Consider the following 24,339-nt stretch of genomic DNA (forward strand, 5'->3'; position numbering starts at 1 on the left):
CTTGTTAAAATGCCATTCTAATTTGGGAGCTTTGGGGTGGCCTGACACTCTGCCATTCTAAAACCCTCCCAGGCCATCATGATCACCACCTTCCGAGCAGCAAGGGGTTAAAACCCAGGCATCTCCCATGATCTAGTAGTGAGTGCCTTTCTAATCGCCCCCAGCTGAAAGGCAATGCAATGTTATCATAGACGGGCAAGAAGAATCTCTTCCTTGGCTCTGTAAATGCTTCCGGGATGTGCTGGGTCAGCCTCCCTCCATTCTGGTTGGCGATCTTGGTCTAGTCACAAGCCAAGACCGTTGATCATACACAAAAGTTTAAGTACCTACTACGCGCCAGGAAGCTCCCTCAGAAAGATGGTTGGTCCTGCTCCCCCACCCACCCTCCACCCTGGCATCTTTTATCCACTCTTCCTTCAGCAACTGCCTTTATCAATGCTCCCTTGAGCCAAAATAAACAAATAAAAAGCAACTTCCTTTGGAAGCTACTCCATACTCTTGCGCTGGCCACAGTTACATCTCCCTGCAGATACACAGATTCTCATGACACAGAGCTCAGACAGTGCTTCCTCTCTGGAGGGCTCATGTTTCGAGAGAAGACTGGAAGGAGGACAACCTTATGCTCCAGTAGAATTCCAAATTCTGGGGTGCAGGGACATTTCGTGTGTGTATGTGGAGGGGGGGGTGTCCTAATGCCCTGTAAGCCACACTTTATAATGCTGTACAATATTGGGTCACCATCATGGGCCATGGAAAGCAGAATCTGTGAGGTTCAGTCCCAGGCTCCAGCACCCCTTTGTCAGCTGGCCTCCCCGCTCAGTGCCCTCTCCCACTACCTGCCCTGCCTCAGCTCTGACTGCTGCTGATGTGCCTCCACCCATCAGGTCATTGTGATGGCAAAGACAATGCCTCCATTTGCCCTGAATGCAGCCTTACATAGGAAAGAGCTTCCTGTGCTCCAGAACTTGGAGGAGTCCTGCAGCACCTGGTCTAGTGGGGAGAGCATCAGTGGGGAGCGGCACCTTTCCTGCAGCCACGGCCCACTGGGCAGGACCAGATCCAAGTGGCCTGGCTTCTGGCTAGGGTGTCAGAGTACATTGGGGCATACAGCTTCCCGTGGCCATCTCGTTTTCATGGAGGATTTATTTTGTGAAGTGGACCTGCTCTGTCCCATCCTATAAATGCTGGATTAATCCAAGAAGCTGAGGGTGAGCAACATCCCTCTCCTTCCTGATCAAATAAGAAATAAATCTAGATTTTCTCCTGGATGCTATTCTCTTCTTAGCCAAACAGCTAACCTTGTCTTCAAGGAAAAAGGGCAATCCCAGGGGCTCTGTAAATTGAATATTCAGCAACTCCAGGGGCAGACATCCCTAAGTGCATAAGTGGAGCACCCCTCTGAATCAGCATCACACCAGCTGGGGGCATAAAAAGGAGAGCAGAGTAGGCAGGAGCTGTGGGGACATTTCTGAGATGCTAAAAGAGGCAAGGAAGTGTGAGGACGGGTGTGCATTCATGCAACAGGTATTTACTGAGCACCTACTATGAGCCAGGCAGTGCTCTATCCATTAGAGATACGGAATTGAATAAAACATAAAAATCCCTGCCCAGGAGGAGCTCACATTTCTATGGGAGAAGACAGTTACTGAAAAACAGTCCAAAAAACTCTATTTTATAGTGTGTTCAGAGGTAATACAGGCTATGGGGAAAAAAAGAAAGCAAGCAGGTACATGGATGAGGAATGGGGGCGATCAGCGTGGGCCTCACAGAAATGATGACCTTTCAGCCAAGACTTGGAGGAGGTAGGGAGGGTACCTGGGGATGCCTAGGGTCCAGGCAAGGGGAACGGCAGGGGTCAGGATCCTGTCAGATTCATCTGAGGTGGGACTGAATGTGAGCAGAGAGAGGGAGACAGAGGATGAGGGCAGAGAGAAGGCCAATCACACTGGGCCACGGCTATTGCAAGGACTTTACTTTTGCTGGGGGAGGGGGTAGAGTTTTGAGCAGAGGAGAAATGCGATCTGGCAAACATCTTGCAAGGATGGCTCTGACTGTTCTATCCTTGGCAGAGGACACCAGAGTCTGGCCCATAGAAGGTGCTCAACAAAGCTCAGCACATTGCACTCCTCCCTGGAGTAGGAAAGGGCTCGTCTGCTTTGGGAAATTTGGCTCTCAAGCTTCTGGAAACACCTGACCCCATGCCAGGTGAGACAAGCTCACACTCAAGGCCCCCTTAGTCCAACGGTCAGTGGACAGAACAAGCACCAAAGGTCAACGGCGTGGGCGGTGGCCTCTCTGCCAAAGTGTGTGGGCCCAAGTAGGGTATTCACCTCCCTCCCTGTCTGTGAGAAATTTCAGACCCCTCTACTTTTTCCAGCAGGAGTTCATGTTCCTTTTAAGATAATCCTCTATAGACCTCTGGCAGCCCAGCCTTCAAAATGTCTCCCCCTGTCTCTCTTACTCATGGAGAGCCCCGCTTCCCCGCCTCAAAAAAAAGTCTTCCTCTCTCTTACTCATGCATGGAGAGCCCCACAAAAAGACACTGGTTCCCAGGGATTCTTCCAAAGATGCTGGAAGACCTCTCAGTGTTTGCATTTCCCAAGCTCGGTTTCCTTGTGCTGTCCTTGGGCATTAAAGGAAGGCTATTCAGCCATCCCCATCAGCAGGAGCAGGCATCAAAAGAACAGCTACTGCAGGGGGAGCATATTAGGGGCACCAGAGGGGGCTAGGAACTGGGTCTTGTCTTCTCAAAGTTTACAACCCACTGCAGGGGCCACTCACCAGCCCTGGCACCCTAAGGGCAGGAACCTCCATTGGGCACGTGTGTCTCCAGCACTGGGAGCACTGTCTGGCACCTGGGGCACTGTGAGTGTTGAATGGATAAAGGACCTGTAAGAATTGCCATAAGAGGTGTTGCCCTGGGGCAAGGTGGGACAGGAAAGTTCTTGCAAGAGAAGAGAGGCTCTGGCCTTGGGCCCTGGCTGAGCAGAGAGCTGGGAGGTGGGTATTCGGGTAGGAGGAAAGCTGTGGAGGGGGAAAGCAAACTGCCTGCGGGGGTGGGGGGGTTCTCGGCGGGAGTTGGGGGTGGAGGGAAAGGCGCTTTACAGCAGCACTCCCTCCACAGGGAGACCAGAGCTCTGCCTCTTCCTCCCCACCGTGCCCTTTGGGGTCCAGTTGTGGGGCCTTCCTTGAGGCCCAGCTCCTGCCTCTGGCCTCCGGAGGCTTATCTCCCCAACAGAGGCTGGCTCCCCAGAAAACAGGATTCTTAGACTTCCTAAAAATAACCTGAAGCTCCTTATCAGAGGCTAATAGTGTATGTCTCCCAGGAATACTCTAGAAAGAGTACCAGGGGTCAGGAACCCCCACTCAGCCTCCACGAATCTGAGCGGAAAAGCCCGGGTCTCCTCACCTGTAAAGAAAATAACTGCAGCCGGCAAATGTGACCACAGGTGAGAAGGGGCTTCGGACCAGGGCGCACACCTCTAGAGAGGTGCCCACAGACAGCCTCCCCTTACTTACGCCCTGCTTCGCTGCAGTGCTGTGAAGCCATCGGCATTGGAAGTGCGGAGGGCAGCGGGCAGTGCCCCAGGGGGAAGGGGGGACGGGTAGGGTTTCAGAGCCCAGAAGGCCTAGACAGGGAGGCAGCTCCGGGAGAAAGGTACCCGCCATCCCACCGGTCTTGGAACCTGAGGACTGCTGGGAAGGGTCAAAAGTCTGCCCTAAGGGTGGACAAGGGACAGAGATTGGGGGGGGACCACAAAGGCCTGGGCGCAACCTTGTTGAGAGGGAAGGGATCCGGACCCAATCTGGAGCCCTGGTCTCTTCCCACCTGCAACCGTGGCTGCCACTTGGCCTCGGTTATAAAATGGACAAGGATTCGAGGTGCTCCTCAGGTTAAGAGAGGGGGGCCTAGAGGTCACCCTGGCCTCGGTGCCCTCCGTGGCCGGGTTAAGAGGAGGTCCCGGAGTTCTGCTCACTTCAGCCGTGTGCCGGGCACTGCAAATCAGGAAGTGTTGGCGCCGGCTGGCGACCTCCCGCCTGGGGCCAGGGGAGGAGGGTGGTTGGACGCTGCCACCGCTGCCGGGGCTGTGCAGGGCTGGGCGGGGAGCGAGGACCCGGCGGCTCCTGATTGCGGCCCCGGGGGAGGTGGCCGAGCCGGATAAGCTGCGGCGGGCTGGAGGGCGGCCACCTCCCCTGCAGGTCCGGCCCTCCCGGGCGGGTGGGGCGCGGGGGAGGAGGAGCCTCGGGCCGAGCCACCGCCTTCGCCGCGGACCTTCAGCTGCCGCGGTCGCTCCGAGCGGCGGGCCGCAGAGGTGAGTGTACCCTCCCCCGGTCTCCGCGGGGCTGCGTGCTGCGCCCGGTCCCCGAGACGCCCGCCCGGTTGCACCCTGCGCCGTCGCTGCGCGGACCTCGGGTGCCGCCACACGTCTGGAGGCGACTTCTGTCCCCTGGGACCGAGCCACGTGCGCCCGGCGGCAGAGAAACCGGGTTCCGGGGCCCCCACCCCGTGTGCCTTCCTTCCCTAGGCGTGGAAGCCGCTTGCGCCGCGCAGGTTAGGCAGGGCCGGCGGCGACAGTGGCGGGGAGCAGGCTCCGGAGCCCCGGGTGCAGATGTGGGCGCCCCTCCGGATGACCCCGGCTGAGTCCACAGGTCCCGTGTGCCCCACGGCTGGGGCTCTGGCCAGCGGTCCCAAAGGAGGGCTGGTAGCTGTGGGCGGGGATCTTCCAGGCTCTTCCTCGCCAGACCTCCCAGTCCCTTCGCAGCCGAACAGGGCAGGGACAGGGGCAGGTGCAGGGGCTGGGCAGGGGCGCCCGACCTTGGTCCCCAGGAGGAGGCTGGCCTCACCAGTGCCCGCCTCTGCCCGCGGAGCCCTTGCCTGGCAAAGTTCCCCCTCCTGCCCGGCAAAGCTCCCCCTCCTGCCCACTTCCCCGAAATTTGGGGACAGGCTGCCCGGAGAGGTGTGGTTGGAACTTTGGTCACTCTGGGTAAATGAAGGGGAGGGTGTGCCCAGATAATATGCGGTTTGGGGACCAGAAAGCCGGATCCGTGGGGAGAAGCAGGAAGGTCCCGCTGGAGCCCTGGCAGAGGGCACAGAGAGGCCTCCCAAATATCCAGGGCCACCTCAGAGATGGGCTCCAGAAGTGGGGATTCTGGAAATGCCCCCAGGGAGGTATTTCTGTCCATCAGAGTGCAGCCATAATATAATTAACAGCAGATATTCCCATTTATGTGTGCCAGGCATCTTGCTAAGGGCTTTGAGCACAATATCCCAGTTAATCCTCACAACAGGAAGGCACCATTATCTCTTGTTAAAAATGGGGAAACAGCCTCAGAGAGTCCACGTATTTTGCAAGGATACACAGCTAGGAAGTTGCAGAAGTAGAATTTGAACCCAGAGTTATCTGACTTGGAGCCCAGAGGAACCTACCACTGGGGCGAAACAGGCTGTGTCCTCACGGGGATTCTGGCAGCCCCAAGAATACAGTGCTGAGAGCCAGAAGGTCCACAAAACCAAAGGGTCTCACCTGGGTGTGTCCTCTCAGTCACCTGCAAGGCTTGTTAAAAATATAGATCCCCAAGTCCCATCCGAAGCTGACTGAATCAGCTAGGGGCACCTGGAGGACCCAGACTATGTCTTACTCATCTCTGTCCCTGGTGGCCTGCAGAGGGGCTGGCAAGGAGCAGGTGCTTAGTGAATGTCTAATGGGTAAGTGGGCGGGGTGGGGTAGATGGTGTCACTAGTGTCCTGAAGGGGGCTTAAATGGAGCAGGTGGCCTCAGCCAGGCAATCCGGCAGCAGGTATGGAAGTGACACAGTCTAATGCTGGCCTCAGAGCCAGCAGGGAGCTCAGGCTGGGCCACTTGTCCACCTGGGGGTTGAACAGCCTGCCCCAGGTTTGCTGAGGTCCCCAGGACCAGGCCAGGTCAAGCTGGGATCACACATGTTCCCTCTCCAGCCTAGAGATGTCAAACAGGTAGATTCCTCTCCCATTCATATCTCCTATCCTTGGCCCACAGCCCTTCCCTTCTTGGACTTATCAGAGACCAAGGTGCTGGGCAGGGCTTCAGGTGGTTAAAAAGTGAAAGTTCTTGAGTGAAGTCCAAAGGCGCACACCTGAGAGCTGAGTGGGCAAAAGGTCGCTGGCTGAGTGCTGGGGATAGTCTGGCTTTGGAGTCAGATGGACGAGTCCAAATCTCAGCTCCTTACCCCGTAACATGAAGCCCTCAGCTCTCTGAACCTCTGTTTATTTGCAAAACCTTGCCAAGGGCTTCAAACAGGATATCCTCATAAAACAAGTATGCCTATTTGGGGGACTAAGTGTGTGAAGTGCTGAGTTTTAGGAGTGCAGTAAATATCGGATCCCTCCTTCTTCACCTCAGGTTTGCGAGTTAACCAGTGAGGGGCCTTCCAGGCCTAGTGCTCTTGTAGACCGAACCACTAGCTTTCCTAGAGAAGGCAACTGAGGCCTAGAGAGTGGCCTCCAGGTTCCGTGCTCTGTGGCAGAGCTGGCCTTGGCTCCAAGTCCCAGGGTTCCCAGCTCAGTCTCAGCTGATGCCTCCCAGCCTGGCGGTCTACGCTGCCTGCTACATTCCCTGTCCAGCTACAAATGAACAACTGAGAGGGCTGGGGTGAGATTCAGGCAGGCTGGGGCAAGGGAAGGAAGCAGGTCATTTGGGGAGTCGGGCTCTCTGGTCTTCCAGCTGAGGCTGGATCCACTCTTTCCTGTCCACCCACGGTGCGTAGTGGCCAGGTCTTCCTGAGCTGAGCAGGTTGAGCACTATGAAACTGCTTTCTAGCATCTAGACCAGGGAGTTGCCTCTTGATTTAAAATGAGGATGTTTACCAGTTTAAGTAGTTATTAAAACCTAAGGCCAAGTTGGTGCCTTTCCTCCCTCTAGGAGTTGGAAGGGTGTGTGCTTTTTTCTGCTCCTACCCCACCCCTGCCAAACCATCCCAATTTGAGAGGCTGTGGAGATTACAGAACTTGGAGAGGAGAGGGGCAGGGATCGGGGTTGGAGACTAGATGGTTTTCAAACATTGGGCTACAGAAGTCCCTCTTCCTCCCATCTGTCTCCTGCAGCTGGGTCCACCCACCTGTCCAACACAGCCTCCCACAGGTCCCGGGCCTCTTTGTGCTCCAACCGTCACATCCTTGGCATGCCACACACCCTCACCATCCTGCCTGAAATGCCAGTCCTCATCACTGACATTCAGCCTCCCATGTGCCAGCATCCGGGCCAAACACTTTATCTACAGGAGCTCATTTGTACCTGGAGACTCTTAGGAGGTCGATAATGTTATTCTCCCAACCATGTGACTTTCCAACTCCATATGGACCCCAACCTCTTTTTTTCCACCCCTAACCTGAGACTCCTAGCCACTAACTAACTGCCACATTCTCCTGTCCAAATTCTGCCTCATCGGTTATTCATTCAACAAACACTTACCGAGCACTAACTTTGAGCCAGGCACTCTAAGACCAGCTGAGTCCCACTTCTGGCAGGATGAGTGTTGTTGTCATCAACCACCCCACAAACACCCGTGCCCTCTGCGTACTTGCGAATCTGAGTGAGGAGACACGGTGGCAGTAAGGCTCAGGACCTATAGCTCATGTGAGTGAGCAAGGATGCAAAACCAAAGACACCCGCTCCCCTCACCCACTGAGCTGGAGGGATCAACCACTGTGCCTGCCATCAGGGCTGATGGGCGACTGCTTGTGGATCACAAACTCTTGCGTTGTCACTTCAACCCAGGGGCAGAGTGTGTTCCTCTTCAGGTGTGGCCTGGTCTCGTGAGCCCTGCACTGAATGGGCCAGGCGTTCATTGCTTCAGCACCGTAAGAACACTGTCACCGGAGAATTGTTCGATACTCAACTCTTCCCAGTCAGTCTGTCTTCTGCATGCCCACAGTTACCGGGCAGCGTGGGCAACAAGTGAGCACTGATTGTTCCGCAATCAGGCTGTGACTTACTCCATCTCTGCCTTCTGCTTAATGAGAGCCAGGTGGGAGTTCAGCAAAGATCACATGTTTAAGCCTTGTTATTAAACACGTTAAAAAAATACTGCCCCAAGATTATAAAGCCGACTTCGGTACATATAAAGAGATTTGGGGTCGGTGAATGGGCCCACTAAGCTTTATTTTGTGGTGTCAGCTGTCTTGGTTCATGTGTAGACAGCAGGGCTCCCAAAGCCAGCATGCTGGGGTCTGTGAGGGAACAAGCTTCCCATTTCTTGTATTTATTTATTTATTTATTTATTTATTTATTTTTTGGAGACAGAATCTCGCTCTGTCACCTAGGTTGGAGTGCAGTGGTGCCATCTTGGCTCACTGCAACCTCTGCCTCCCGATTTCAAGCAATTCTCCTGCTTCAGCCTCCTGAGCAGCTGGGATTACAGGTGTGCTCCACCACACCCAGCTAATTTTTGTATTATTAGTAGAGATGGGGTTTTGCCATGTTGGCCAGGCTGGTTTTGAACTCCTGACCTCAGGTGATCCACCTGCCTCGGCCTCCCAAAGTGCTGGGATTACAGGTGTGAGTCACCACAGCCGGCTGCTTCCCATTTCTATAAGCATCCGACTGGTGGGGTGGCCAGTAGGCTGTGGGGAGTGGTGCGTGATTTTCCTGGTGGGCTTGAGAGAGTAACAGTATACCCCCAGTCAGGGCAAGTGTCTCTCTGAAGGTGAACTCTGGGTGCACAGCTAGAGGATACAGTGGCTGTGAGCTGGGCCCTCCAGGTGAGGTCTGGCCTGCCCATTGCCACAGTGGGCTTGCTGGCATCCAGGGGGGCTTTCTGGGTGACTGCCCAGGCCTGCACATGAGTCAGTAGCACGCTGAATGCAGTGGAGTTTGAGGGGACCCACCACTGTCCATCAAATCGCCCCAACCTGGGTGAAAGGCCAGAGCAGCTGCGGGAAGTGACACCAGGCCCTCTGGAGATGACCCTCTGGCCCTTGGAGATGTCTCTGGACTGGCCAGAAAGAAGGTGGTGCCTGGAACTGGAAGGGAAGGAAGCAAGACAGTGCTGGGCCCAGCAGCCAGAAATCAGGGTGATGGGTGGGTGGAGGGGCAGGCATCTGGGAAAGCCCTGCCCTCCTGGTGTTCCCAGATCTGAAGGCTGGAGGCTGGAAACCTTGTGTCACCTGTGCTGGTGTGAGTTCCATTGGGGCTGCCGCTTACCCTCCCATGACCTTTAACATCTGGCATGGCTTGTGGGGGGTGCTGAGAGGAGGAGAAGTCTCAAGGCTGAGGGAGCTCAGGGTAGAGCCAAGGTCTCAGTGAGAACCCCAGGGGGCAGCTGTCACAGCTGACCTGGAGCCCTCCAGGAACGCGTACTCTCCAGCTCCTGTACTCTCAAAAGCAACAGAAAGGTTTGCTTTCCTCAGGTGCGGTTTCCTCACAGTGCAGCTTCTCCAAAGAGATCTGGAGACCCCCCAGCAGCTTTGACAGGAAAATAGAGTCCTATCCACCCCACACCAACACACTGAAGTAGAGACTCTGGGCCTGGGGCTGCCCAGAAACCCACCCACTTAAACTGCCCGGGCGATTCTGGTGTTCACAAATATTTGAAAGCACTGCCTGACACCTGCTGGCTCAACAGGTGTCCACCTAGGCTGGAGTACAGTGGTGCCATCTCGGCTCACTGCAACCTCTGCCTCCCAATTTCAAGCAATTCTCGTGCCTCAGCCTCCCGAGCAGCTGGGATTACAGGTGTGCTCCACCACACCCAGCTAATTTTTGTATTATTAGTTCACCTAAGCAGAGAGCGATGTGAGGGGCTGTGAGGATGTGCAGGGGTGGAGGGCACTTAGGTCCCTCCCTCAGCTGACCATAGAGCACCCAGAGTGGCAGAGGGGCCACGTGCAGTGAGTGGCCACAGCAGAGCAAGGAAAGGTGCACACAAGAACAGTCCTAAGGAAGACATGTGTTTAGGGGTTTCATATTCACTGTTTAATCATCAGGACAGAGAGGGAAAGCAACCTACCCAACGTCACACAGCTAGCACATGGCTGGACCGGAATTCACACACATCTCTGTCCAGCTAGGTCCCCCAACTAACACAGCTGCCTGTCTGAATTCAAAGCCGGGAGAGATTGTCAGGGGTGGGCGTTGGGGGAGATGGCAGGTGCCTTAAGTGCCCAAGGCCTTGGGCTGGATCTTTAAGGAAGGGGGATTGGGATGGGCCAGGAGGTTGTCAAGATTGGAGATGGAAAGAATGCCATTGGCTGTGGTGGGGGGTGGAGTGGGCAGGGACTGGAAGGAGGGGTAGTGGAAGTCAGTCCCTGCCTACAGGCCTGTGTTAGACTCCGCGGAGATTCAGGAATCTAGCCCTGCCCACAGGGGCTTTCACTCCAGTAGAAGAGAGGAGACCCAGGGGGCCACAGCAGTCAGAGAACAATGAGGCCTTGGCTTGGTGTTTGGTGATGATAGGGGAAACCTGCCCAGAACCTGTTTATCAGATGCTCAGGGATCTGAAAAACAGGTTCTGCATGTGGGCTTGAGATAAAGATGCCCGGGATACTTAGATGTGCCCTATTCCAAGATCGCTAGGTTCCAAACAAGTTGAAAACAATAGAATACACTTATCCCTAAGAATGGGCTTGCACATAATTCACTTCAACAATGCAAAAGCTTCCAAACCTCCAGCCTCCTTTGGGCTGCCGGTGTGGCCTCCAAGGTCCACTGAAAAGCCATCCCCAGCCAGCAGAAACATGCCTGTGTCTTCTTCAGCCCCCGTCCATGCTTTGCCCTGGAGACAAGTGCTGTCATCTGTTTGTGGGTCTGTCTGTCTGTCTGTCTGTCCGTCTTTCTCCCCACTGTGAGCACTGACAAGCAAGTAAAGATGACAATGAAGCCTTTGTGGGCACCAAATGCTGACAGCATTATCACTAAGCCAGTGGCAGCCATGGTGACTGCAATAAATTTCCCCCACAGAAATTGATAAATTGCCACTTTCTGCAGCCATTATGTTTGCCTTTGTATCCCGAAGAGTAAACGCCTCTCTCCCTTTCTCTCTCTCGCTCACGTGTGTGTGCGCGCGTTAGATGACATTTATTCATTTTATGCATCCTGGGTTCTACTGGTCGTCCCACCTCAGTTCCTGTAGCAAAGAGACTTGAGTCTGAGCCACTAATTATCACCCGTGAGGTTTCCTCCCCGAGCAGGAAGCAGCAGGCCAGAGCTGCGCTCTCTCAGTGCACTCTCCAACCAAGCATCAGTCACCACTCCCGGTCCAGCCCCTGTGGCCAAGAGCTGGCGTGCAGGCTGCGGGAGGCAGCTGGCTGTGCAAGACCCTGGCAGGGCCCTCGCCTCCTGAGAAACCGAGAGTCAGAACCAAAGCCAGGCTGTCCTGGTTGGAGACTGAGCCAGAAAGGGTGGCTCACCTCACGGTGAGGCTGTCGAGTGACCTGAGAGCCTCAGACCCTCACGTCAGCCGGATGTCGCACCAGCCTGCTGTTGGTAAGTCTGGCTAGGACGCAGATCCAAGGGGGCATGGGTCGTGTGCAAACCCCTCCCACCAGCTCCCTCACCACCTGACCCCTGCCCTGCTGGAGGGTGCCCCTTGAATCTCCAGGAGGTCCGAGGAACTCGACACCTCCCAGAGATCTGTACTGCCTTGGAACAGGCTGCAAAAAGTGCAGTATGAAATGGGAAATATGTATCAGCTGCACGTTTTCATGGCCCCCTTTGGAGGAAAGGGAGTCCAGGTTATTAAGTCAGGAGGCTTTTAAATTTCAGGGGTTCAAGGATTTATCACACACAGTTGCGTGTGTGTGTGTGTGTGTGTGTGTGTGTGTGTGTGTGTGTGTTTAAGGATGTTAATGTTTATGATGCATTTCTGTGGAATGCAGGCCCATTGGGAATTGTAAATTTTTCTTATTGGTAACCATTTCTGCATTGGTTTAGCACGGAACTGCTGCTGCAAGTAAATGAACCAGATTTTTCTGGAATGATTCGAAAATCTAGCTGTTTGTAAAAAGCTCTCTAAATTATTCATTCACTTTTATTTTGCACAGTTGTGTGACGGTAAACTCTTTTCCATCAGACGAAACTTGCGCGCACGTGTATTTCTGCGGGGATTGGCTCGAGTGTGCTTGAGTTTTCTGTATTCTCTTTTGTAGGAACTTCTCAGCCTTCCTTTTAAAAAGATAATAATTTTTTAATGATGTCTAAATAATGATTCCAGGCAGTATTACAAGAAATATAACAGTAAAACGTTTGTAAGAGTCCATCAGAAAGGGAAAATGCCCACAGAGAAAAATAGAAATCTACCAATTAGATGTGTGTGGCTATAAGTGAGCTTTTAAACCATGATTTGAGACTGGCATCCTCTGGCCTCTCTGCCCTCAGGTCAGCTGTGGGAGGCTAGGGGTGGGATAGCAAAAGGGACCTGGGATCAGGTGGGGCTTCCTGGACCCCAGGCCCAGTAAGAATGAAGCCTAGGGGTTCTAGGATAGGGGGCAGCCCTGGATTTGCAGAAACAGCCTGAGAATGAGGGGCTGGAAAGTATGAGTTGGAGCAGCTCAGTGAGGAGACAGAAAACTGAAGCAGAAGAAAGCAGAAGACACCAGAGTCTGGTGCTGACTGGGTGACTGGCTGTTACTCACATCCTGAGCAATGAGCCACAGACCCTCCCCACCCCAGAGGCAGCTTGAATGCAGGGACTGGATGGGCCCAGGGCACAGTGGATCCGGGGCAGGCAAGAGCCAACTCGGGGCCCAGAGGAGGACCTTTAACCTGACTGGGCCTCAGTTTTCTCTTCTGCAAAGTAGAAGGAATTATAGCCTTCTGCAGGTCAAACCCTGTGCCCACATCCACAGGCACGATCCCCGACTTCGCCTCGCTGGCACTTCTCTGCATTTGACTCCTGGTTATTGCAGCTGTGCCCATGCCAGGCATTTGTTAGGTGCTGGGATGTGCCTGCCCCGCTCCTCTCTGTTGGGGAAGACGGAATTCATGCTGTAGGGGAGGCCCGGAGTTTCTACATGGGGCAGTCACAGGGTGGGGGACTTCCCTGAAAACTTCTTATTTGCATAAAATGTGCGCTGCTTTTGACTTATATTGTAAATTTCAGATCCATAAAATGGGAAAGACTTTGCAGAAGCTGTTATTCACTTTACCTGACTGGGAGATGTAGATTGTTCATATCCAAGGGTGTTAGTTTTAATACTAACATTAGCATGTGGGGAAGGGTGATCGAGATGGTGGGGAGTAGGGCCCCCCACCACCTACCCCTGGGACCTCTAAGGGAAAGTACACACCACCGTATGCTAGTTGCATCCTGTTACCTGTGCTGCAGAGCCAAGGGGCCAGAGGCAGGGAAATTAATTCTGCCTTGTAAAGGCACTGGGCCTTCCTGTTGAATTTTGCTACTTGCGGGGAAGGCACTTCCCAGGCAAAAAGATTAAGCCTATAACCTAAGCAGAAAGCAAGCAAGAGCTTTGGGTGGGAAGTGGCCAGAGACATAGATCAGGCAGACCCAGGTTTGGAAGGGCCAAGGAGACAGCACATCTGCCAATGGCAGCAGCTGGGCCTCACCTGCCCTGACACCCCCACCTAATGGGGACTGGGCAGAACCCTCCAAATGGTTGCCATGCCCTGGCCCAGGAGCCTCCAAAAACCCTGAAGCCATTGACTCAGCATCCCTGAAGCCTCCTTCCATGAGTACCCCCATACCAGGCTGCACCTCAATGCACCTTAGATCTGGTGTTTGATTTTCACTTTGACCAGATCTGCAGCAGTCTCTTTGTTAATATTTATTTCCAGTGTTTACATTCATCTTTGCATAAGTCCTCAGTGTTACTAAGTTTATCAAATAGCGAAATGCTTGGCCAGGTCTAACAATGTCACCAAGCTGCAGAAGGGATTAGAAACTCATAGTATTATTATTTCATCACCACTGAGTACAAGAGAGCCCCAGCTAGGTTCTGGGGAGAACAGCTATGACTCACAAATACTCCCCTCCCAACTCACAAATACTCCCCTTAGAATCTAGTCCTTAAATCATTCAAACCACAAAAATGTATTGAGCACTTACTGTGTGCTAGGCCCCGGTAGGTGTTAGAGGCACAGAAATGAGTTTTTTATTGGCCCCCATCCAATGAGGTGACAGACAAGAGAACCAGTGTGTGCAGCCAATGTTAATGTGACAAAAAGTGCAGAGTTAGTCCCAGAGCGTGAAGTCCTCCCTGTCCTAGGCCCAGGTGGAGGCCAGGAGCTGCTCCCCGGGCTGCCTGGACCAGACTTTTGAGCTCTTGGGACCCTGGCGAACATCAAAGCTGTTGCAAAAGTCAGAGCTCTTGCAAAAGTTGGAGCTGGCCCATGGCAGGTGGTTGAGAAGTGGCTACATGACTCTTCCCATGCAGAGCGGTTAGAGGGTGGAGGCCGATTTCCAGTATCCCTGGGAATCCAAAGAAAGAGGCCACTGAGGGGCAGGGGAGGGCCCCTCCGAGGCTTCCAGAAAAAGGCAGTGCAGCAGCTGGGCAAACCAGGATAAGGCATGCATCCCTAAGCCCAAAAATCAGGTGATGTGAGGCAGGCCGAGCTCCATGGCAGACATGCTGAGCTGCCTCTGTGTGTCTTGGCTAACTCTGCCCTTTCCTAACCCCACGGCTCACCCTGCCCAGGAGCAGGGATGAGGCCCATCCCTGATTCAGCAAATCCTGTGCCATAACAAGGGGAGGGGTGGGGGCAGCCACAGCCCACAAGACCCACCAGTCCCAGGGTTTGTGCAGCTCCAGGTCTCCCTGGAAAGCAAGAAACCACCCAGCTCCAGACGCTGAGGCTGCAGATTCAGCTGCCACTGCCTGATGGCCTCCAACCTGGCTGGATTAACTGGCCCATAGGGAGCTGGCTGCCCCCACAAGCCAGCTCCCTGGCCTCCCTGGGCAAACTAAAGCCCTCCTCCCTGGCTCCATAGCGCCCGGTCATCCCCTCATTCCAGCACTTTGCTTCTTCCTGCATTGTGTAGCTGGCCTTTCTCCTAAGAGCCTTAAAAGGGCAGGTCATCTTTGGCCACCTGCATGGCCCCGGCGCCTTGCTTCATGCTGGGTACACAGCAGGTACTCTGGGAATAACAAATAAGAGAATTTGTCAGAGGAGGTTTGGCAGGATGGACTATTGCATAGAACTGCACAGACTGTGCACTGCACGCCTCCAGAGGGCACTCTCCACAGGGATTACTATGTAAATGGCACCTCCTAAAGTTGTGCAGCATAGGGACCCTAGGGCTTGAGCATGCCCCACCCGCCTCCGCTGCTTCAAGCCCCTGGCCTTGGTGCTGACTGTTGGGCTTTCCTCTTCCCCTTCCCAACCAGCACTGACCATCATCCTTCCCATACGCTGGCGATGGGTAGTAATGAACTGTCCCAGTGAGCAGTTCTCCCAGACTGGGCTGTCAAAGCATGCTAGTGAGAGATTCCTGGATGGCAGGCAGGCCATCTGGATTCTTGCTCAGCCAGGAAACTCTGTCCTCTGGGAATATCCTCCCAGTCAGGGTGTTAGGGGGCTCCTGGATCCCCAAGATCTTCATGGTCCCCTAGAACTGCTCCTCTCCCCAGCCTGCAGTGGGCCTAATGACCCACATGTAGCCAGGGAGTGGTCCCCATGGGGTTTGTTTTATTGACTCAGCTAACAATGCCACAATGACTCTGATTGCCTTCTTCTCACCTGAGAGACCCAGCTCTGGGCAGCCAAGGGGTACGTAGGGACAGAGCATATGCATGTGACCCTCAAGATCTAGAGGAGCTCAGAGACAGCATGGATACTCGAAGCCCCCGTGAGCAGGGAGGACTTTCTGGACCAAGTGGGCTGGGAGCTGGGCCAACTGTAAAGACCCAGGGAAAAAAAAAGTCAAAACTGAGTTGCTCTTGCATGCAAGTGAGTGGTTAGTTCATTGACTCCGTCCACAGCCCTTTCCTGAGCAGCTACTGCAGTGGTTTTCAAAGTGTGGTCCCCACACCAGCAGCACCAGCAATTCTGGATGTGGAGCCCAGCAATATGTTTTCATCAGTCCTCCAGGTGACCCTGATGCAGCTCAAGTTTGACCTGATGTGTCCTAAGTGCTGGGGTTTGCAAAAGTGAGTTTTACTTAGTTCTCACCTTGAGGAGCTTGGAGTGGGGGAGAAGATAGACAGGAAAGAAAACAGTACTGTCCAGTGAGACGTATTGCTCTGGAGGGCCATGGAGGCAGAGGAGCAGTTGGTATAGGCTTGATCCTTGCAAGGGTAAGTGGCCTGGAGACCCCAGTGGCATGACTGTCCTCGGCAGGGAACCAGATGTTGGGACCAGCATCCCCTAGAGGGCTCAAGGAGCCCAGTGCCGACCCCAGTGCCCCAGTGCCCAGCCACCAGGGCTGTGGCCCTGAGCAGCAGGTCCTCCTACTCTTCCCTCCACCCCAGATCTTCTGCTCTGCTCTTCCCCCTTCTTCTTCCCACTCCCAAGTCCCAAATAGTAGCAGGTCTTTTCCTCCGATTGTCTTGGGGAGAAATGGGCATGTACCTCCAGGCCATTATCTTAGAGCACATTTTTAGAAGATTTTAAAGTAAATTTTTCCATTAGGCAGAGAACACCGTGTATTGATTTGGGTGCATCTATTTCTGCTTTACCCAGACAAAAAGATTTACAAAATATCCTAGAGAGGAATAGAATTAAAAATGAGTAAATTTAACAGGCTCAGAGCGTAGCACTTTATTTGTCTCATATAATCCTTGCCACACCTCATTAAGGTGAGGAACATCAGCCCATAGTGCAGATGAGGAAATGGGGCTCAGGAAGGTGAAGTGACTTGGCCGGGCCGCCAGCTAGCAAGTGGTCTGGTGGGATATGAAATTCCATCCCTCTGCTGGGCCCTTGCTGGCTGACCTTGCAGTTTACTAAGGTGACTGATCCTGAATAAATCCAGAGTGTTCTAACGTTTTGCTGAGCCCGTGTCCTGTTGGCTGCATTGTGGGGAGTGGCCTGGCCTGGCTAGGGAAGCTCTCAGTGACCAATTGTGGCTTCAGCTGTGTTATTTAGAGAATCCCAGGGGCTGAAATGATCCTCTGCCTGGTTAGGGAAGGGATGACTTTAGGAGGAAGAGGGACCTAATGCCCCACTTAGCAGATCTGCAGCTGTGTGCATGTTTCCACCTGCACATCCTTCTATAAACCCTCAGCCATGTGGGTGAGCAGCAGACGGTGCCTCCCCCACTCCCCCTGGAACACATCTGCCCTGTTCACTGACCTGGGAGCTGGTGGGGTGGACCTCAGACCCCAGCACTTGGCACACACACATCATCCCCTGGGCCCTGGAATGGCTTGCATGGATGGCAGAGAAATAGCTGTGTGAGCAAAGGCCAAGAGAACAGTTTAGCCCAAGGCACCATTTTTACAACAACAACAGGTAATGGTACTGATTATATAAGCCTCACTTGTCCAGAGGTCACGGGGCTTAGGAACCTCAATTATGTGGAAAACAAATAGGACATAACTTCAGAAGGTTGCAGAGCCACTGTGCTAGTGTGGTCTTTGTGTTGCTATAAAGGAATACCTGAAGCTGGGGAATTTGTAAAGAGAAAAGGTGTTTTTCAAAAGGAAGACAAACATTTGAATGCTCTGGATTTATTCAGGATCAGTCACCTTAGTAACCTGCAAGGTCAGCCAGCAAGGGCCCAGCAGAGGAGTGGATTCATATCCCACCTGACCACTTGCTAGCTGGTGGCCTGGGCAAGTCACTTCACCTTCCTGAGCCCCATTTCTTCATGTGCACCATGTGTGCAGAGATCACCTGGGGAGAGAGGAAGTAAGAGAGAGAGAGAGGGTAGGGAGGTGGCAGGCTCTTTTTAACAAGCTGCTCTCGAGGAAACTAATACAGTGAGAACTAACAGGGAACTTACTTGCTCCTCTGCCCTCCCCCCAGCCAGGGAGGGAATCCACCCCCATGACCCAAACACCTCTTATTAGGTGCACCTCCAGTATTGGAGATCAGAATTCAACATGAGGTTTTTGGGGGACAAACCTCCAAACCACAGCAGCCACCAACATTGGTGTTACAAAATCCATCCAATGACATAGGCTCATGGAGCGCGCTTAAGCTGTCATCCAAAACATGTTTACTCTTGGTTTACACACACTAGTAGCAGTCTGCCATACCTCAATTTCCTTTTTTATTTTAGGTAACAACTTTTTAAATAACCTTACTGAGCTATGCCTCACATCACCACGCAATTCACCCATTCAAATGGTGAGTTGCATGGTGTACCCGTGAGGATCACTCCCCATTTTCTCCAAATCCCCCATTCTGGCCACCACTAATCTACTTTCTGTCTCTATTGATTTGTTTATTCTAGACATTTATATAAGTGTAATTATGTAATGTCTGGCCTTTTGTAATTGGCTTCTTTCCCTTAATGCTTTCAAGGTTCACCCCTGTTGGATGCATACTTAGTTCTCTTTATGGCTGAATATTAATCCACCGGATGGATAGGCCACATTTTGTTTAACCATTCCTCAGTTGATGGACGTTTGAATTGTTTCCACTTTTTGGGTATTATGAATAATGGGTGAAAATGTTTTTGTGTGGATATACATTCTTCCTTCTCTTGGATATATAGCTAGGAGTGGAGTTGCTGGGTCATATAGAAACTGTTTAACGTTTTGAAGAATTCCCAGGCTGTTCTCCACGGTGCCTGCACCATTTTACAATCCCAGCAGCAGTGTAGGAGGGTTCTGATTTCTCCACATCCTCCCTGTCTTTTAAAAAAATATATCATTGTAGCCATCCTAGTGGGTGTGAAGTGGTATCTCATTGTGGTTTTCATTTGCATTTCCCTGAGGGCTAATGATGCTGAACATCTTTTCATGTGCATTTGTATATCTTTTTTGGAGAAGTGTCTTTTCCAGTCTTTTGCCCACTTTATGTAGGTTGTTTGTCTTTTTAATACCGAGGTGTAAGAGTTCTTCAGATATTTAGAAACAGGTCCCCTTATCAGTTATATGATTTCCTGAACTTTTCTCCATTCTGAGTTGGCTTTGCACTTTCTCGATGCTGTGCTCTTTCGATTTCGTCAGCAGCGAATTAGCAGGACCTGGGGGGCTTTAAGAGGTGAGCAGGCAGACAGACAGCGCCCACAAAGTCCTGAGGATGAGAGAAGAGGCAGAGCTTACACAAAGGCTCTGTGAAAACTGAAGATGGACCCCAGGCAGGTTGGGGTGATCCCTGGGGTGCTGGATGAGGATCTGATTTTGTACTGCATTTTGGAAGGATTTCTGCCCCCAGAGGCTACATAGGCTCCAGTGGTGTGTGCAGTCAGGCAGAGAGATGCACAGAACCTCTACAGTGTGCCAGGCATGGTGTGGGGTTCTGGGTGCATGTGGAACAACACACAGCAATCTTGCCCTCCCAAAGCTCAGGGAAGTGGGGGCGGGGGGTGGACAACGAGCACATGAGAAAAAGACCACAGGGGAAGAACTCCCAGAAACATCCCAGCCACAGCGCAATGCCCCAGGTGTATATGGCCCTTGGCTACTTCATGCCCTTGAGGGAAAATCGGTATTTTCATTTTACACTTGATGAAACAGGTTAGAGAAAGGACTGGCGTGTCCAGTACCTCCCAGTGAGAAGATACTCAGAGTAGACCCCAGATCCAGGTCCTTCCTCTTTCCCTCTCTACACGTTTTCAGTCTAGAAAAGAGTTCTGTGCGAGAATTTTTTTGTTTTTGTTTGTTTGTTTGAGACGGAGTCTCACTCTGTCGCCCAGGCTGGAGTGCAGTGGCGCGATCTCGGCTCACTGCAACCTCCGCCTCCCAGGTTCAAGCGATTCTCCTGCTTCAGCCTCCGGAGTAGCTGGGATTACAGGCACGTGCCAACACACCCAGGTAATTTTTGTATTTTTAGTAGAGATGGGGTATCACCATGTTGGCCAGGCTGTGTGCAAGAATTTATGTTTTCACTTGTGGCTTGCTGAGCCCTGGTGCTGGCTGTGGGCACATACTCGTTCACCCAGGGACATGCACTGTTGATGGGTCCTTGCACTCTGGGCTATCTTGGGCCCCGTTTGCTCAATGCAGGCCCCTCTTTCTGAAGCGCTTTTCTTGGGCTCACTCTCAATTCGTCAAAGTTCGGCTCAGGCCCACCTCCTGCAGGAATCCTCCCAGTCCCCGCTGTCCGAAGTCAGTACCCTTGTCAGGAGACCTTAAACACTTTAGTCCACTGCCTGGCCCTCCCATGGGGCAAAGGTCTCCAGGGTGTGTGTGCACTTCCTTGGGGCTTCTTAAGGCTCATTCCCTGGGATTAGGGAGGACATACAGAGCCTCCTTGCACCTACATTTGTTTACATATTACTTATACCACATACAACGTTATAGGGCACTGCTGCATAAGTGTACATTTTGAATGTATTTTACTTATAAAGAAATAGAGCAGTAATAGGAACATGTGCCCCTAAATGTAATTTTACTGACCAGACAAAAAAAATTTTTTTTAATTGAAAATAAGTAGCTGGACGTGATAGCATGCGCCTGTAGTCCCAGCTACTCAGACTCAGAAGTCTGAGACAAGAGAATTGCTTGAACCTGGGAGGCAGAGGTTGCAGTGAGTCGAGATCGCGCCACTGCACTCCAGGCTGGCGACACAGCGAGACTCCGTCTCAATAAATAAATAACTAATAAATAAACAAAAATTTAAAAAAATTGAAGATAACTGTGGGCTGCTTGAGGACAAGAACTGGGTTATTTTCTCTCTCTTTGCTCAGTCAGTCCCCACATGGGAGGCGTGCGAGGCACCCCGTTCTTGGCCTGCAGGCCGCCCCCACTCCATCTGGCTGCAGGGTGCCACAGCCAGCCTCTGATTGCCAGTGGCCCCAGCACCTCAATCCATACCGACCTCACAGCAAACCCTCCGTGGCCACAGCCTGCCCTGGCCACTCATGTCTGAAAGGTGATCGGTGTCCATGAAGAAGAGGCCATGGGGCTGTGGATGTCATGTGGCCAACTGTTAGTGGCCTGCGCAAGAGCAGACAGGAGCTGGCAGGCAGGCCCATGGGCCAGGCGTGGCTCCCAGCCATAAACACAGGCTGTAGCCCTGCCGGGAAGAAGGAGGGGACAGACAAGCCTGGGCAGAGACCCAGAGGGGACCAGGACACCCGATCCTCCATGGCAGTTCTGTCCACAGCTTGGGAGGAGAGGCAGGCAGGTCTGCAGGCAGGAGACAGGCCTCGGCCCACAGAGCTGCAATCTGATCCCATCTGCTCCCTCTCCAGTTCTATAAATAGAACCCCCAGGGAGCCAGGGCCCAGACAGGGTTAGTCACACCCTCACCTCAGGCCGCAGGGACAGGCCTCTGGGACTTCCAAGACATGTACCACCTGTCCTGCCCCCAACCCCTGCCAGCCTTCAGCAGGAGGGTTCATGCTGAGCATCAGGAGGGGGCAGAAGAATTGAACGTGGCCACTGTCCATGAAGAAGTTAGAGAAGAGTACACACAACACACATGCACACAAGAATAGGACACGTGCACACACACACACACATGCATACAAGATTAGGAAACACAAGTGCACACACAACCAGTCAGAAATGAGCTCTGAGCTTTTACACATATTAACTCATTTCATCCTCAAACAGTCTTTAGAGAGGTATAATTAGTGTTCCCGTTTTAAAGGTGAGGGAACTAAGGCACAGAGGAGCTATGTAACTCACCCAAAGGCACCCAGCTACTGGCATGTGAGGCCATGATTTCTCCCCAGCAGCCCCACCCACAGCCCGTGCCTTTAACCACCTGCCTGACCCCTCCCAGCCAAGTGGCTCCGTCCCTACATCAGAAAGGTCAAGGAAGAGGCCGCCTAGGGAGCAGTACAAGGCAGCATTACAACCTGGCATTTTCCTGTTGCAGACTGCATTTTGGTGGCAAGAGAAGCTTTGGAGGTGCTTAACGTTTAGTTTGCATTTATCCTACCGCTGAAAAGCAGGGACCCTTAGGACCATAAGTCTAGGACTTTTCATAGCACCCTAGACTGCTGGGGATGAAAGGGGCTTGGAGCTGAGCTGGTGCAGCAGCTCCTGTTAGAGAAGCCACCCAGAGAGGCCCAGGGACCTCCTATGTCCCAGCGCCAGTTAGGGGCAGACGTGGGACCAGCTCCCCTCGGCTGCAGCGGCCTCCATATCAGCTCCCTGGAAGGGAGCAGATGCCAAGTCAGGTTCTGAGCAACACCCTCAAGGCCCAGCCCTGGCAATCCCTTCCCACCTGTGATTAGGTCTGGGGTTCAACAAAAATAGGACTCAAAATCTGGATCTTCTCGCCTTGCTTCACTTTGGGCTGGTTCAGTTTTGTTTCGAGGTAAATCATTCGAGGTTTTTCAGGGATCCTCAGATGCATGTCTGCGTGAAGCCGTCCTGGCTTCCCCTTCGGCTGCCCCCTGGGCAAGAGCCTGGGCCATACCTGTGCCATTCCTGAGCTCTGTCTCTAGCTGCCCTATGTCCAGTCATTGGCGATGGGTCTTATTCAAGCCCCCTTTCCCCCAACCCACACTAGATTGTAAGCCCTCAGGGTGGGGACCGCTTCTCACTCATCCTTATATGCTTAGGAGTGTTCAGCACAAAGTCACTCAGGAGATGGCAGGCAGCGGGGAGAGGGCAGAGACAGAGGAGAGGCTTCTGTCCAGAGGGTTCCTACTTAGGATCATCCAAATCATCAGCAAATGTTGGAAAGATGGTCTGGGGGCCTCAGGCTGGCTACTCTTCCTCCCCATCAGGGCAAAACTCCCCGGGGGCTTGTGTCTCCCTGTGGTTGGGGACAGGCCTGGGTGTATCTGTCCCAGCCTTGACTGACCACAAGGGGAGACTTGGCCCTCCCGACCACAGGAGAAGAGGGATTTGAATTCACCTCGGCCCAAATTGCAGATGCTGGCCTGCGAGCCCTGAGGCCATCTGCAAGGCTCCTGGGCTGACATAACTGTCACCCAGCTCTTCATCCTCCTTCCCCGGGGCTGAAGGGGTGCCTGCAGGGTCTTCTGCCCTCCCTCCACCTGGGCCCTACTGCTGGCACGGAGCTTCATTTCTGTTGGCAGCCAGTGTTTGCTTAGTGATTACTGAATGCCGTTTGCTGGGTGCTTATGATGTGCTCAGCACTGTTCTAAGTGCTTTACACAATTGACTTATTTACTCCTACAACCTGCCCATAAGGGAAGTGCTGCCATGGTCTCCCTTTTATAGCTGAGAAAACTGAGGCACAGATAGGTCCATGGTCACACAGTTAACATAAGGCAGAGTCAGGACCAGAATCCAGGCGGACTGGCTCCAGAGCCCGGCTCCTGGACCGAGCAGCCTTGAGTAGGGACCTGGTGCAGACCCGCCTGCCGTGGACTCACTATAGGATGGGTCAGGAGGCCCGTTGTCACCTACAAAATGTAGCCCACCACCCAGGAAACGCTCCCAGAACCAGGCAGAAAATACTGTCTCCTATTCACAGGGTGGCTGTGCCTGGCGTGAGTGTCTTGGCGGGTGCCTGCATGTCTGTGCAGGAGTGCCACCCCCATCTGTGGACTCGGAAAGCATGATCCCCACAAAAGCAACCCCTCAGAGTCTCAGCTCAGCCAATCCCTGTTATCCTGTGACAGGCAGGGCCATGTTTCAAAACCATGTTAAAGATGAGCAAGAGGCTAAGGAAGTTTCCCATGCTGGCAGAGGCAGGACAGGAACACATGTCCCCTGACTCTTGACATTGAGAATGCACCCCCTTCCACCCACCTGGCCTCTTGTCCCAGCCAGTGTGGTCCCAGCTATGCAGCTCTCTGGGACATCTCTGGAAAGCTCATTGTTCTCTGTCTGGGCAGTAAGACGGAGTGAGGCTCTGACTGCCGAGGCAGACAGACCTGCCTCCTGCTCTTCCTCCCCTCAATTATTTGTGCTGCCTGAAACAAGTTCCTGAGCCTCCCTGAGCCTCAGTTCCCTCCTCTGTAAAGTGGGAATGATAACTGAATCTACTTCCTGGGGTTCTTGTGAGGACCAGAGGCCCATCACCCGAGGAAAGGCCTGACAGCAGCAATGGGTGTATGGTAGGCATCCATTAATAGGAACTGCTGCTGCTGCTGCTGCCTTATAAAAGGAAAAATCACAGTTTCAAAAACCTCTTAAGATTGCATGATTTGTCATCTGAGAGCAGAGATTGTGATCTCCATTGACAAAGATGGAAGCTGGGGCCCAGGGAGGCACACAGACTTGTCTGAAGACACACAGCTGCTTCATAGCAGAGCCGGGCCCAGCCTCCTGGTTCCCCTGCCCCATCTTTATGTCAGTCCCTGGATCCACTCCCTCACCTGGTCAGGTGTCCAGAGGTTCCAGGAGAGTGTTGTGGAAAAGTAGGA

General features: G+C 53.1%; 1 protein-coding gene across 6 annotated transcripts in view, besides 6 other annotated features; it reads left to right on the forward strand.

The window, feature by feature from the left end:
* Positions 4,002–4,781: a silencer, noted in NCBI's record as "silent region_11899". NCBI's record gives its function as "represses an Ori minimal core promoter by ATAC-STARR-seq in GM12878 lymphoblastoid cells {active_cell/tissue: GM12878}" and the evidence as "EXISTENCE:reporter gene assay evidence [ECO:0000049][PMID:35858748]".
* STEAP3 (STEAP3 metalloreductase) overlaps positions 4,259–24,339 on the forward strand; it is a 41,819-nt gene continuing 21,738 nt past the window's right edge. For 2 of the 6 annotated variants that reach the window (NM_138637.3, NM_001008410.2), the window contains exon 1: positions 4,259–4,313. Coding sequence is in view for 2 of the 6 variants with exons in the window: in NM_182915.3 (NP_878919.2) it covers positions 11,438–11,459 (22 nt within the window). In the remaining 4 variants the exon portion in view is untranslated. Of the gene's footprint in view, positions 4,314–11,044; positions 11,460–19,787; positions 19,856–24,339 lie in introns of all 6 variants that reach the window. The other 4 variants (XM_011511403.2, NM_182915.3, XM_047444895.1 and 1 more) reach the window with 4 other exon arrangements.
* Positions 4,842–4,911: a silencer, noted in NCBI's record as "silent region_11900". NCBI's record gives its function as "represses an Ori minimal core promoter by ATAC-STARR-seq in GM12878 lymphoblastoid cells {active_cell/tissue: GM12878}" and the evidence as "EXISTENCE:reporter gene assay evidence [ECO:0000049][PMID:35858748]".
* Positions 13,364–13,563: an enhancer, noted in NCBI's record as "active region_16446". NCBI's record gives its function as "activates an Ori minimal core promoter by ATAC-STARR-seq in GM12878 lymphoblastoid cells {active_cell/tissue: GM12878}" and the evidence as "EXISTENCE:reporter gene assay evidence [ECO:0000049][PMID:35858748]".
* Positions 15,085–15,134: a silencer, noted in NCBI's record as "silent region_11901". NCBI's record gives its function as "represses an Ori minimal core promoter by ATAC-STARR-seq in GM12878 lymphoblastoid cells {active_cell/tissue: GM12878}" and the evidence as "EXISTENCE:reporter gene assay evidence [ECO:0000049][PMID:35858748]".
* Positions 20,507–21,023: an enhancer, noted in NCBI's record as "H3K27ac-H3K4me1 hESC enhancer chr2:119997658-119998174 (GRCh37/hg19 assembly coordinates)". NCBI's record gives its function as "activates a minimal SCP1, AML or CMV promoter by ChIP-STARR-seq in naive H9 embryonic stem cells {active_cell/tissue: H9 hESC(naive)}" and the evidence as "EXISTENCE:reporter gene assay evidence [ECO:0000049][PMID:30033119]".
* Positions 21,024–21,540: an enhancer, noted in NCBI's record as "H3K27ac-H3K4me1 hESC enhancer chr2:119998175-119998691 (GRCh37/hg19 assembly coordinates)". NCBI's record gives its function as "activates a minimal SCP1, AML or CMV promoter by ChIP-STARR-seq in naive H9 embryonic stem cells {active_cell/tissue: H9 hESC(naive)}" and the evidence as "EXISTENCE:reporter gene assay evidence [ECO:0000049][PMID:30033119]".

Source organism: Homo sapiens, chromosome 2 (assembly GCF_000001405.40).
Source record: "Homo sapiens chromosome 2, GRCh38.p14 Primary Assembly".
Taxonomy (NCBI): Eukaryota; Metazoa; Chordata; class Mammalia; order Primates; family Hominidae; genus Homo; species Homo sapiens.